General features: G+C 42.0%; 1 protein-coding gene across 10 annotated transcripts in view, besides 2 other annotated features; it reads right to left on the bottom strand.

Annotated features, from left to right (window-relative positions):
- Positions 1-14,065, bottom strand: part of TSHZ2 (teashirt zinc finger homeobox 2) — a 522,973-nt gene that overhangs the window by 206,799 nt on the left and 302,109 nt on the right. The window lies entirely within an intron of this gene.
- Positions 4,991-5,597: an enhancer, noted in NCBI's record as "NANOG hESC enhancer chr20:51899474-51900080 (GRCh37/hg19 assembly coordinates)". NCBI's record gives its function as "activates a minimal SCP1, AML or CMV promoter by ChIP-STARR-seq in primed H9 embryonic stem cells {active_cell/tissue: H9 hESC(primed)}" and the evidence as "EXISTENCE:reporter gene assay evidence [ECO:0000049][PMID:30033119]".
- Positions 5,860-6,415: an enhancer, noted in NCBI's record as "OCT4-NANOG hESC enhancer chr20:51898656-51899211 (GRCh37/hg19 assembly coordinates)". NCBI's record gives its function as "activates a minimal SCP1, AML or CMV promoter by ChIP-STARR-seq in naive and primed H9 embryonic stem cells {active_cell/tissue: H9 hESC(naive and primed)}" and the evidence as "EXISTENCE:reporter gene assay evidence [ECO:0000049][PMID:30033119]".

Here is a 14,065-nt window from a genome sequence, read left to right as displayed (position 1 = left end):
ATTCTCCAAGACTTTGGCAAAAAAACACAGATGTGAGAAAACTAGACTTCTATTAACAAATTTTAATGTCAATATAAACCTAAAACTTATTGAACAGTAGCTAGTTTTTTTTTTTTTTTTTGAAACGGAGTCTTGCTCTGTCACCCAGGCTGGAGTGCAGTGTGCAGTGGTGTGATCTCGGCTCACTGCAACCTCCACCTCCCGGGTTCAAGCAATTCTCCTGCCTCAGCCTCCTGAGTAGCTGGGACTACAGGCATCTGCCACCACACCTGGCTAATTTTTGTATTTTTAGTCCAGACAGGGTTTTACCATGTTAGCTAGGCTGGTCTCGAACTCCTGACCTCAAGTGATCTGCCCATCTTGGCCTCCCAAAGTGCAGGAGGGATTACAGGTGTGAGCCACTGCACCTGGCCTACCGGTAACTAGTTTTTGACATTAAGAAAAATCTACACATCTGTCTAAAGGCAGATTTTTACATTAGGTTGAAGACTCAAGTTTCCTCTATGGCCAGCCTCCCGATAATGGAATTATAGTGGAATTTTATGAGGACCACATAGAAATTAGCTTGAGGATTAAAGACTTTAATCTTCTCCAATAAATGTCAGGAAGAGATTTGAAAAATATTTTTATAGAATATAAAATTTTCCATTTTGAAATACTCTTGGAGGGGAAAAAAAGCTGAGTCATTAAAAGTTTTAAAAACTCAAGAAATTCAGGTTGAATAAGAAAAATATTAACTCCTAAAAAATGACTTCTACTTTCATCTACCATGATTTTTGTTTGTTTTCAAGGTGATATTAACCACAGAAAAACAATTTTAGAAGGACAAGAAATCCAAAATACCACTACCCTGGCACTCACTGTAACTAATTATTTCCCAAGCTTTTTCCAATCTCAGTCTCCATGCAAGTTTACTAACCTCTTAGACAGTCAAGCAACACTTCCTCTTCTGGGGATACTCAACAGATAAGTAACAGCTGCTCACTCTGTGGGATGCGGTGGGTTCAGTTTCATTCCTCTGAACCCATGACAGATCTTAGGGTACACATGTTACTTATACTGCACTTGTATTGCAATCACCTTTTAACCTCCAACATCTAAACTGTAACTCCTGAAAAGTAAGTCAATGCACATGAAAATGCCCACCCCTTGTGGACCAGACCCTGGAGATGAGTTCTGATAAACACAGTGTCTGCCCTGGTGAGGCTCAAGGTAGAGTGGGAAAGACCAGCAAGAGAACAGACAATTAGAGAACAGACAATTCAAATGAACAATTAGAGAAGTGCCATGTAATTTTTCAATAAATATAAGCTCGTATCATTATTATGTCTATTTTTGTCTCCTTGAAAAAGTTCAGTATATTGAGTATGTTAAATAAATACTTATTCACAATATAAAGAAATAATTTGTTCCTACTACGAAGGACAAGACTGGGTGCCCCTCTTTTGTGCACCTGTATCTTTCCCATCACAGCAATGTGTCCAGGCACTACGATTGTGCATTCGCTTCACTTCCTTGTCCCCTAGATGATGAACCTCGGGGAGGAACTGTGTCCTGGTCTGGCATCCTTGGTCTGGCATCTGGTCATCAATTCAGAAGTGTTACGTGTGTGTGTGTGTGTGTGTGTGTGTGTGTGTGTGTGTGTATTTTTGAGACAGGGTCTTGCTCTGTTACCCATGCTGAAGTATATTGGTACAATCATAGCTCACTGCAGCCTTGAACTCCTGGGATTAAGTGATCCTCCCAAGTAGCTGGGACTACAGGTGCACACTACCCTACCTGACTAAGTAAAAATAAATTATTTTTGTAGAGAAAGGACCTCACTGTGTTGTTCAGGCTGGTCTCAAACTCCTGGGCTCAAGCCGTTGATGTTCCTACTTTAGTCACCCAAAGTGCTGGGATTACAGGTGTGAGCTACTGTGCCTGTTTTTACATATTTGAATAAAGCTGTAGAAGATAAAATGTTCTTAGAATTCAAGTTGGAGAGAAGCCGGCTATTTCTGCCCTAAGACCAAAAAAAAAGAAAAACAATAAAGGTGACACCTCCAATCAAAAAACAACTGGATTTTCATCATACCCTTACTAGGGAAAATGCCCTGAAAAAGAATCTCTAATGAAGGACTGTAGACATCTTGAGAACTCTTTTCCTCATCCTGAACTCTGTTTTCTTATTTCACACTTTTGTCTCCACACTTCCAGACCTGACGTCTCTAACTGTAAAGTCTTGTGTTGCCTCACAAAGCCTCATGACAGAATTTTCTTTTAATTAGTGCATTCATAATAGCAACAATAATTCTAATCATTAATAAGCCGCTCACTCCGCTTAGGAACAAACACAAATGGCAAGAAGTCAATGTTAATTTTAAAACACATGTAAACAAGAATCCAGGAAGGCCAAACACATAACCTTTTGGCATTATTAATGGCAGAAAACATTTTCCACTGAGCTCGAGAAGTAAATGCTACAACAACTGCACTCCATATACCTCTACCTTCACTTTTCATAATAAAAATAAATTGATTATTATGTAGCAATTTAAAAAAAAACCTCTGTTTTCCCTTCCCCAAATACCCAAAGCTTCATGAGGGTAGGAATCATTTCTGTCCTACTCCCTGATGCTACAGTAATTCTGGCATATAGTAGATATTCAATCCATCTGTGTTGAATGAATGAATCAATCCAATCTCAAAGATGTCCTGACAGATCCTTTGTGGAAACATATATAACCCTAATGGCTCAGAACATCACTTCACAAAGGAAGCTGGGCACCACTACCATTTCTTTTTCTTTCTTTCTTTCTTTTTTTTTTCTCTTGAGATGGAGACGGAGTCTTGCTCTGCGGCCCCAGGCTGAAATGCAGTGGCACCATCTTGGCTCACTGCAACCTCCACCTCCTGGGTTCAAGCAATTCTCCTGCCTCAGCCTCCCAAGTAGCTGGAATTATAGGCAGGCACCACCATGCCCAGCTAATTTCTGTCTTTTTAGTAGAGATGGGGTTTCACCATGTTGGCCAGGCTGGTGTTGAACTCCTGACCTCAAGTGATCTGCCTGCCTTGTCCTCCCAGAATGCTGGGATACAAGCGTGAGCCACCGCACCTGGCCCCATTTCTCAGATATTGTACTGACCCAACATCTGCAAAAAAATTTCATAAAGTTCTGAATTTTCAATCAAGAATATCTAAATTTTATTTTCATTTTGGTGAAAAATGAATCCAATCCTCTCCTGGATCCTCAGGAGAAGAGACTCCTATCCAAACACTGCTGTATGAAATCACTGCCCGCATTCACGTTTATCCTTGCGTTGAGCTGGTGCTCTGTGATCAACGCAAAAGGACATTTAACTTTTTAATACCGTGTTTCTCACTTTGTGGGGGCTTGCACATTTTCCCAGTTCTTAAGTTTGGGAAATGGTGGTAGCTACAACTTCCCCACTCAGCACAGTGACACCCAAAGTCTGGGCAATGCCTGGGGCCACCATCTGTCTCCTGTGCTTCTGACTCTGCTGAACAGCTTCAGAACGTGGAGCTGGATCCGAATTGCAGCGCCGGCCCTCGTGACAGACCCGGGATGTCTACGATCATTTCCTCTGCTGCCTTTCATATCACTGAACTGAAACGATCAGGCCTGTCAAGAGTAAGGGCCCCAGATGAAAGGCCAGTGCATTAAGACAGAACATAATTGCCAGCTTCTGAGTTGCTGACATTAATCGTTTTACTGAAAGAAGACAGTAGAGTTCCTCTCTCTCTTCCTCTCTCTATTTCTCTCTCCTCTCTCTTTCTCTCTCTTATTGCCATCACACAATGGGGGTGGGGGGGACGGGCGTGTAGGGGGGAAAATCCCAACAAGATTTGCTAATTAAAAGTAATATGTTTTCCCGTGTTTTTGGCAATTTGATAACACAAAACACTTACTTCGGGGCCACAGGGGGAAACAAACGGAGACAGATAAAAAATGTTTTGTGTTCATCCAAGCACAACTATGTTAATGCGTATTATCCCATTAATGTGCATCAACATCGGGAATCGGCTCACCAATGCAAGCAAGAAGCATACACTTATCATCATTTGATAACATGTTTAATGACAGATTGACGGGAGATTTGCAAATGTGAACTGGCATCAGTGTTGCTAACTTCAGCTTCTGCCGCCGCCTGTGCTATGCCAGCATATTTATGTGCATAATTTGATTTCTCAGCCACACTGTTAGTACATTTTTAATATTAACTATGCACGAACAGACAGCCGAACTTAAGTTGCACTGATGGTTGGAGTTCATTAGATTGAAAAAGATGGGCGTGCGTAACTAAGATGGAGGTGGCGGTCCAGCATTCAAGAAGCAACACTTAACAGACACACTCCATTCTCAACAAGCCCAAGCTACACATTTCACGTTGTTCGAGGCGGTAAAACTCTTATGAATGAAGGAAGAAGTGGAAGAAGAGGAAGAAAGCCCCTGCCGGGCATTTGGTCAGGAACTTGACAAAGAGCCCTGGGAATTACTGTACCCGTTTTTACTTTCCTTCTGCCACCTTCTTTCACCCCAAACTCCTCGAAGCTCTACATTCAAGCCTCTTTTGCATATTGCAGTCAATTGGATGGAGCAGGCGAGCACAGGTTTCTATTCATTCTTCATAAACCCAGGTCACAGACCAAGCATGCAGGAAAATCTTCCCTGGATAAAAATAGGGTTAATCTGTTTATCTTGGAGAGTCAGACCAATCTGTAATTGAATTTTGCCCTCATCACAAAACATTTGTGTGACTGGGTAGGATGACCTCACTTTGCTATACCTCCATTCCTTCAACTGTAAAATAGGAATAAGAAAATCACCTACTTCCCAGAGCACGGAAGCTTGAATAAGCTAAAACAAAGAAGTACTAAACCCAGTGTTTGGCACATAAGTAAGCTTTCAGTATATGTTTATTCTTCTTACTATTTTATTTTTTCCTTTTTTTGGTAATTAAAAAATTATAACTCTGCTTCCCAGCAAGCCCTAAAGTCCAGCAGAGCTGGGGTTTAAATCCAAGCTCCACCAGCTGAAAGCTGTGTGGTGATGGTCAAGGCGCTTAATTTCTGTTGACTTTAGGTACTTCATCTGTAAAATAGGGGTGATGACAGGGACCTATCTGGTGTGATGGCAGGAAAGATAAAATGGCATGATGTATGTAAAGAGTTTTAAAGAGTGCCTCGGACATAGTAAGCATTCAATAACTATTAGCCCTGATTTTTTGCAAGAATCAGGACAGGGCATGAGTTCTGGCAGTGATAATGAAGTTTGGCAAATTTGCATTTGAATTCTTGTTCTGCTGCTTCCTAACTGTATGATAATGGGCCACTTACTTAACCTCTTTAAGGCTTAGCTTTTTCTTCTACAACATGGGGACCCATGATCCTACTTTGGAGGATGTGGGAAGGGAATAATGAGATAACACTGGTAGGGCGCTAACTCCATGTTAATTATGATTGTCATAAAAGTTTGTGTCTTCAGGGCTTTGATGGTGCCTGGTACATAATAAATGCTGAATAAATATTTGTTGATTGAACCAGCAAGTCAGATCATTATTAGGCATGTCCCAGGTTCCGTCTTGGGAAAGATTTGTCCAGGGAACAGGATAAGAGGACTGCATGTGTCTGTTCTGATCTGGGAGTGGCACAGTGAGAATGTGTGAAGGAGTCTCGGCAAGGCCTCCTCACGACAGCAAGCAATTGACACAAATCACATGCTTGGCACAGGAATGCCACCTCCTTATACAAAGAGCACTGCATGACGCCACTGGCTAGCCATTTTGTATTTATTCCTTCGAATCACCAGTCTGAAAGGTGCCACTAGAAAAATGCACAGACTTCAGTGTCAGAACCGGCCTTAAATCCTAACTCTGTCACCTGTCAGTCATGGTCACCCTCAGTATGTTACAGACCTTTCTGAGGTCCATTCGGTGAATATGAGTTAAGGATTTTAAATTTTACAGCCCCTGTTCTGCCCTTGAGGGGCTTATACCTGAACCTCGGTTTCCCCATCCATAAAATGGGGGTAATATCGCTACTTAAAGCGTGTGGTAAGGGTTAAATCAGAAAAAAGATAGAAAAGCTCTTGACACAATGCACACAGCAGGTACTCAGTCAATGCCAGTTCCCTCTCCCTCACTGATCTGCATATGAAAGGCTAAGCCAGAGGCCAGGCTTCTCTGATCACTTTCAAAAACGTGATTCCTGTATATTTGCACTATTTTGAATTGCTATGTAAATTAATTATTTTATCAGTGACAATCAGGTGAAAGTCACCTCTTCTTTTGATCCTTTTTTTGGACAAAAGAACTTGATATATTTTAACATCAGCTCTGAGAGGTAGGTGGAGAGTCTACCTTTATTCACAAAGGTAACTTTGGGGAAACTGAGACATTTTTCTATGCAAGTGAGAGCTAGATAAGAACCTGGCCACAGGGAAATGCATCTGTAGAGGACACAGTAGGGATGCCTTTGGATTTTGGATACTATATCCTTGTGCCCACGTCTGGCTTCTGAGTGTTTTACTTTCTAATAGGTGCACCTGCAGCTCTCTTCTGGGGATGTCCCCTGGTCGCTGAAGCTGCTCTGCCAGTACACACAGAGTGCCCTTGCTGCCTTCAAGTGTGTACCCCTGGCTATCCTTGAGCCAATGACTGATTGATGTGGAGTCAATCAGTCATTAGCCAAGGTAGCCCAGCCCTTGCTTACAGACAGGTGGAACTCTGAGGCTCCCCATGGGATCAGGCAGAGGCTAGGACTTGCTTGGCTTTCTTTCCTTCCCTGTCCTGCTTCCCTACTCCCTTACTGGTTCTTCCTGGGAGCACATTCCTGAGAAACCAGGGATTCAATAGGTTTAATAGCCCAGGAACCCTGATGTCAGGATCTGCTTCTAGGACCCCCACATGAGACACTATCCTACTAGACCATAGGCTGGTAAACTCTAGCCTGTGGGCCAAATCTGGCCCTCCACTTATTTTCATAAATAAAGTTTTATTGGAACTCAGCCATGCTTAATCATTTACATATCACCTATGGCTGCTTTTGTGATACAATGGCAGAGTTGAAGATTTGTAGTAGACACTGTATGGCCTACAAAGCCTCAGACATTTACTATCTGGCCTTTTGACAAAAGAGGTTTACAAACCTCTGTACTAGATAATGCTTTAAATACACCAAGCTTTTTTTGACCTCAAGAACTTTGCATGTGCTGTTCCTTCTGCCTGGAGCCCTCATTCCTTGACTCAGTGGATGCCTGGCTGCTTCTCATTATTTAGGTCTCAGCAAAAATGTCAGTTTCTCAGAAAAGACTTTTCTGACCACCCATCTAAAGTAGCCTTCCATTTCCCCATTTTTTGGCTCAGCATTCTTACAACTAACAGCACTGAAATTATTCTCTTTGATTAAATTGTTTGCTCCATGACAGCAACAGCACATAAACTGCATGAGGCCAGAGGCTTTCTTTGCCTTGCTCATTTCTGGATACAAGCCTGGCATAGTATCTAAATACAGTTTACTTTTAGGAATACTTGCTGACTGGCCGGGCGTGGTGGCTCACGCCTGTAATCCCAGCATTTTGGGAGGATGAGTGGGCGGATCACGAGGTCAGGAGATCGAGACCACCCTGGTTAACACAGGGAAACCCTATCTTTACTAAAAATAGAAAAAATTAGCTGGGTGTCGTGGCACGCACCTCTAGTCCCAGCTACTCGGGAGGTTGAGACAGGAGAATCGCTTGAACCCAGGAGGCGGAGGTTGCAGTGAGCTGAGATCGCGCCACTGTACTCCAGCCTGGACGACAGCTAGACTCCATCTCAAAAAAACACACAAAAAAACCCCCACACACAACAACAACAACAACAAAAAACAAACAAACAAACAAACAAAAAAACGACTTGTTGACTAAATGATGAGAAGAATCAAAAATACCTAAGTGGTTGCATTCATACCAAGTGGATCTTCTAAACCAGGACTTAGCATAGCTAGCTCCATGTAGGTGGTGCCAGGTCACCGATCCCCCTCTCATTTTGGATCCTTACTCCTAATGCGATGGAAACATATTTCATACTCAAGTCACATTAGTGCCCAGACATTTACTACCTCTGGTATTAATTCGCTTATTTTGCCACATTATATCATGGGAGGTCATTTTATGCTATAAGCTGTAATTTTTGAGTTTTATGATATAAATTGACCTGCTTTGGGAACCAGGCTATAAAAAGGATTGCTAGTGAGGAGGTTAAGAAAAAGTTATGTGGCTGTGTTAATGGTTTTAATTGATGCATTAAGTTTATAAAGTTTTTGTTGAGGCCTTCATATGCCTGAGGTCTTCAAGGAGCTTCCTGATAAGGAAGGAAAGGTACATTCACACACACATACATGTCCTGTGTGCAATCCATTCCTGCACACAGGAGCAGAGTCATCTTCAAAAATGCCCATTGGGTCATGCTCTTTCCCTATTTAAAGCCTCTCAATGTATTCAGAGTAATCTGAACTCATTACCATGGCCTGCACAATTGAGTCTGTCACCTTGAGCTCACAGCATTCCAGGGACACTGGCTTTCTTTCAGTTCCCCACAACGAGCCCAGCTCCTACTTGCCTCAGGGCCTTTGCACTTGCTGTCCCTGTCTGAAATCCTCTTCTTCTCATTTGTGGCTCCCTCAGTCCTTCATATGTCAGAAGCTGCCCCTCAAAGGAGTCTTCCTGGAGCACCCAAAGTAAATTAGCACCACTGCTACCCAGGCCCATAATGCTCTATTCCCTTCATGGGATCCTAAATGGCCTTATTTATTTTTTAATTTTGTGTCTATTTCCTCCAACAAGAATGTAAGATCTGTGAAGGAAAGGAAAATGTCATTTTGTTCATTGCTGTATCCTTGGAGCCTAGCACAGTGCTAGATATGAGAAAATACATAAACAACATGATATCAGATAGTTGTAATTTTATGAAGGAAATAAAACAGGGTGACGAGAAAGAGAAAAGTGAGAGAGCTGGATTGCTTTGGATCAGGGGTTGGTGAACTGTTGCCTGTGGGCCTGATCCAGCCTGCCATCTGCTTTCATAGGGCCAACAAAGTAAGAGTGGTTTTTATATTTTTAAATGGTTGAAAAATCAGAAGAAGAATGATGTTTTATGACACACAAAAATGACAAGAAATTCAAATTTCAGTGTCCTTTGATAAAGTTGTATTGGATCATAGTCACTACCATTCACTGGGATATAATCTATCATTGCTTTTATGCTACAATGGAAGATTGAATACAGCTGTCCCTTGAACAACATGAGCTTGAACTGTGTGGGTCACTTATACATGGATTTTCTTCTGCCTCTGCCACCTCTGAGAAAGCAAACCAACCCCTCTACTTACTTCTTCTTCTCAGCCTACTCAATGTGAAGATGACAAGGATGAAGACCTTTATGATGATCCACTTTCACTTAATAGTTAATATGTTTTCTCTTTCTTATGATTTTCCTGACAACGTTTTCTTTTCTCTAGCTTACTTTATTGTAAGAACATTGTATATAACGCATATAACATACAAAATATGTGTTAATTGACTTTATGTTGTTGGTAAGGCTTCTGGTCAACAATAGGCTATAAGTAGTTAAGTTTTCGTGAAGTCAAAAGTTATCTGTGGATTTTTGATTATGCAGAGGATCAGCACTGCTAACTCCCTCATTGTTCAAGGGTCAGCTGTAGTTGTGACACAGACTGCATGGCCCACAATGCTGAAAATATTTACTATCTGGCCCTTTGTAGAAAGAAATTGATGACTCCTCATTTAGATAGGCTTTCATGGAAGAGTCCTTAAAGAAGATGATGTTTAAGTTGATATTTAAATGATAAGAAAGATTAATATAAGGATCAGAAGGACTATAATTAAAGTACCTGAGGCAGAATAAGCACTCATGAAATGTTAGCTTATTGTGATATGAGCTGTGAATTATGACTTAGTCTGGCAGTTCTGTACTGGGAAAACTAGGGCAGGGTAGTAAGTAGAGATGAGAACTGAAGGTGGCTACTGCATCAGTCCTGGCAACAGGAGGGTATACTTCAAATGACATGGCTCCTGTGGAAATGGAAGTGGAAGTGACATGGGAAAAGCATCATGGAGGTCCAATCAAGAAAAATGAGTGATGGAATAAATGAAGAGTGTGAGGAGAGATGACAGAAAAAAGGAAGGTCCATAGATCCTAAGCTGAGACATCATGAGAAGAGTAAGGCTACCTACCATTTCAGAATTAGAAAATATCAGGAAAGTGAGAAGATGGCTTAGGCCAAGCTCCAGCTATCTATCTGGGCTTTTACAGACAACAACTGATTTAGATAGGCTTTCAGGCAAGAATCCTTAAAGAAGACGATGTTTAAGCTGAGATTTAAATGATGAGAAAGGCTAATATAAGGATCAGAAGGACTATAACTGAAGCACCTGAGACAGAATAAACACTCGTGAAATGGTAGCTCTTCTCATTGTGATATGAGCTTTGAATTATGACTTAATCTGGAAGTTCTGTGCTGGCCAAACTGGGACAGGGTAGTAAGTAGAGATGAGAAGACCTGAAGGTGGCTACTGCATCAGTCCTGGCAGGAGGAGCGTGTTAGTTGGATTTGAGGTCATTCTTCCCCAAGCAACAATGACATCAAAACTCCTCTGGGTGGACCAATCTCAGCCCAAGTTGTGCAGTGCTGAGTCTGCTCACTGCTTCCACAGGAGAGACTTGAACCCAGGCCAAAGACAGCATCCAATTCTCCAAGTTGCAGGCATTGCTTTAAGGGTATGTGCTTTCCTTATTCCCGGCTGATTAAACCAAATGTCCATATTTTCTTGGTACCCTTGGGAAACAGGCCCTCTATCTACTGGTGCATCTAAACTGATAGGATATAACCCTGGAGCTGGTCCACGTTTGCCATTTGCCTGAGAATGAGATAACACATAGAACACCTGAGCTGAAAGGTGGAGAAAAACAAAGTTTTGATGGCATACATCCTCTGAACCAAGGATTGCTCTGTGCATGAGTCCAACTCTGTCCTTGGATGAGCTGTTATATTCCTTGTTTTTTTTTTTCCTGTTTTTTAGTTTTTTGGTTTTTTTTGCAAAGTGAAAGCAAGTTTAGTAGAGAAGCAAAGAAACAATAGGATGGCAACTTCATAGACAGAGAAGCCACATTTCTTGTTTTACTTAACTAATTTTGATTTGCTTTGCAGTGAATTATAAATAAAAGATTTTGATAAACACAATATAGAGCTAATATGCTGAACAGTTTTAACCATTGCTTCCAAAATACTTTTAGGGCCAATTAATTCAGAATTAAGGAAGGTATTAAGCTAAGTCAAGAGGAAGACCTCTTCCCTTGATAGCCGGTCATGTGCATCAGGTGAGAAATTCCTCTTAATACAGTACAAGCAACTGAGCTGAGGTTGTCCACCTCTTTAAGCGATCTCAGCAGACTCAAGCAAACTTCCTGGCTACCCACTCCTTTTCTAGATTTTGGGCCTCTCCTTGTTTTGCTTCTCTATTTCAGCTCCTGCTCTCTGTTTAGCCCCTGTAATAGGTCATCCTGATGGACCCCTATGTTGGTTTGACTTGATTTTGTGCAGTAAGCTAAGATCTCACAAAGGACAGAGTGTCAGACAGGCTCAAAGACAGGAGGAAAGCTGCTAAAAGCAAACTATCTGGAGCACTTACAACATGCCCAGGTACTTAAAGCAATGGTTCTCAACGTGTGGTCCCCGGACCAACACCACTGGTATCATCTGGGTGCATGTTAGACATTCACAAGGTCTCGCTCCACCCTGGACCTATTGAATCTGACACTCGGGGGATGGCGCTCAGTCCTTTGGGTTTTAACAAACCTCCAGGTGATTGCGATGTACAGTCAAGTTTGAGAACCACTGGCTTAAAGCATTATCTGGATTATTTCTTTTAACTCTATCAATTCCTGAGGTAGAACAGTTATCCCCATCTTATAGATGAAGAAACTGTGTCTGAGAGCGTTAGAATATTTGCTCTTACTGCTAGTGAGTAGTGGACCCTAAATTTAAACCCAGGCAGCCTGACCATGGTTCCTCACTGGTGATCCCCAGCAAAAGTGGATAGATCTACGCAGCTGCTCATATTCCCAGGCAGAGTGCCCTGTTCGCATTCCAGTTGGCTGGCAGACACACTGTCCTGGAATGACATATCCTATTGCCCTTTTGCCAATTCCTAGTAAGCCTTAGGACAAATTTCTCAACTTCCAAGGAAGTTTCCACCTAAAAAAGTGGTTCCAAAAAAAAAAAAATGAAAGAGCCAGGCCTGGAGCTAAATCCTAGCTTTAGACCCTGGAGCTGGTCCAGGTAATCTTGCCATTTGCCTAATAATGAGACAACACAAGGAACATCTGAGTGGAAAGGTGGAGAAAGACAAAGTTCTGACGGCATACATCCTTTGAACCAAGGATTCCTCCATGTATGAATCCAACTCTCTCCTTGGATGAGACGGTACATTTCTTATTTTACTTAACTTTGATGTGGTTTGCAGTGAATTGTAAATAAGAGATTTTGATATACACAATGTAGACTTAACATGCTGAATAGTTTTGTTTGTTTGTTTGTTTTTGAGACGGAGTTTCGCTCTTGTTACCCAGGCTGCAGTGCAATGGTGCGATCTCGGCTCACCACAACCTCCACCTTCCTGGTTCAAGCGATTCTCCTGCCTCAGTCTCCTGAGTAGCTGGGATTACAGGCATGTGCCACCGCGCCTGGCTAATTTTGTACTTTTAGTAGAGATGGGGTTTCTCCATGTTGGTCAGACTGGTCTTGAACTCCCGACCTCAGGTGATCCATCCACCTTGGCCTCCCAAAGTGTTGGAATTATAGGCATGAGCCAGCGTGCCCAGGCAACATGCTGAACAGTTTTAACCATTGCTTCCAAAAGTGTCAACAAACTTCCACCCAGGTCCACTAAGATTTTAGGAATTATACAGCACACAGGGGGCTTGTGCTCATCGACCTGCAGCCTTTCCTCTTGAAAATCACCTCCACCCCTCTAAATCCCCCTTTTTGTGCACCACATTTCTCCCCAGTTAATGCCATGTATTATAGATGCCACTTTGCTTGCTGAGATTTATAGGCAATTGCTAATGTTCAGTTATAATTCCCCATTTCAGATATGAAAATGGCTCATAATATTCAACATAAGGGCCTCTCTACAATGATATATAATTTAAAAATTAACATGAGGACAGAGGAGACTCTGCATTTTTGAACTAGGAACTTAGAGACTCAGAGGTTAAAGCTTGATAAGGTGAGCTCAAGGAATGAGATGAGTTATTAAGTAAATGCCTCTGTTACATGTTTCCATGACTTCAGAGCTTTTCCAGTGTCTTCCAGTTCATTTGCACTTGTCAAAGTGCAAGTCCACAAATGGTATATTTATATTAGGGTACTTTTCCCCATTGTTAGGAATGTTCTCTAATTCCTGACACAGACCTTTCCAATATAAGCCGTGCTGTCAGAAAGCAAGCAAAGCAGAAAAAAATCAATGCTTGAGCTCCAGCAGGGGCCAAACAGACCAGAACAGTAAGACCAGAAAGAGCTTATGGGAATTCTTGGGGGAAAAACCTGTGGCTGTATTTACGGCATCACTGGCTCTGGGTGGAAATGGACCTAGAAGACTTAGAGCAGAGTATTCAACGTGCCCATCTCTAGGGAAGGGGATGAAGACAGTGATAGAGATAGAGAAAAAGAGGCAAAGAAAGAGAAAGAGCGCTAGCGAGGAAAGAAAGATAGGCAACGTTTCTGCATGTGTGATGCGTGAGATAATTTGGTGCTCGTATTGGTTCAACCATCCATGGCCTTGTGACCAAGTCCTTGTTCCCTGGTCTGCTCCAGCATCAAGTGGTTACAATTATGGATTGCAAATTTACTGTCATCTGACATCTACCTCAGCTTTCCCCTGATCAACAGAACTCTCTGCTGGCAAACTGAATAATTACGCAAGATTTCAGTAATCACGGGGATGCCAAAAAGGTCACTAAATCATTTTGAAAAAGACAATGTGTTCCTCCATGTCATCTCT

This window comes from Homo sapiens, chromosome 20 (assembly GCF_000001405.40).
Source record: "Homo sapiens chromosome 20, GRCh38.p14 Primary Assembly".
NCBI lineage: Eukaryota > Metazoa > Chordata > Mammalia > Primates > Hominidae > Homo > Homo sapiens.
This window is presented reverse-complemented; position numbering and strand designations above follow the sequence as displayed.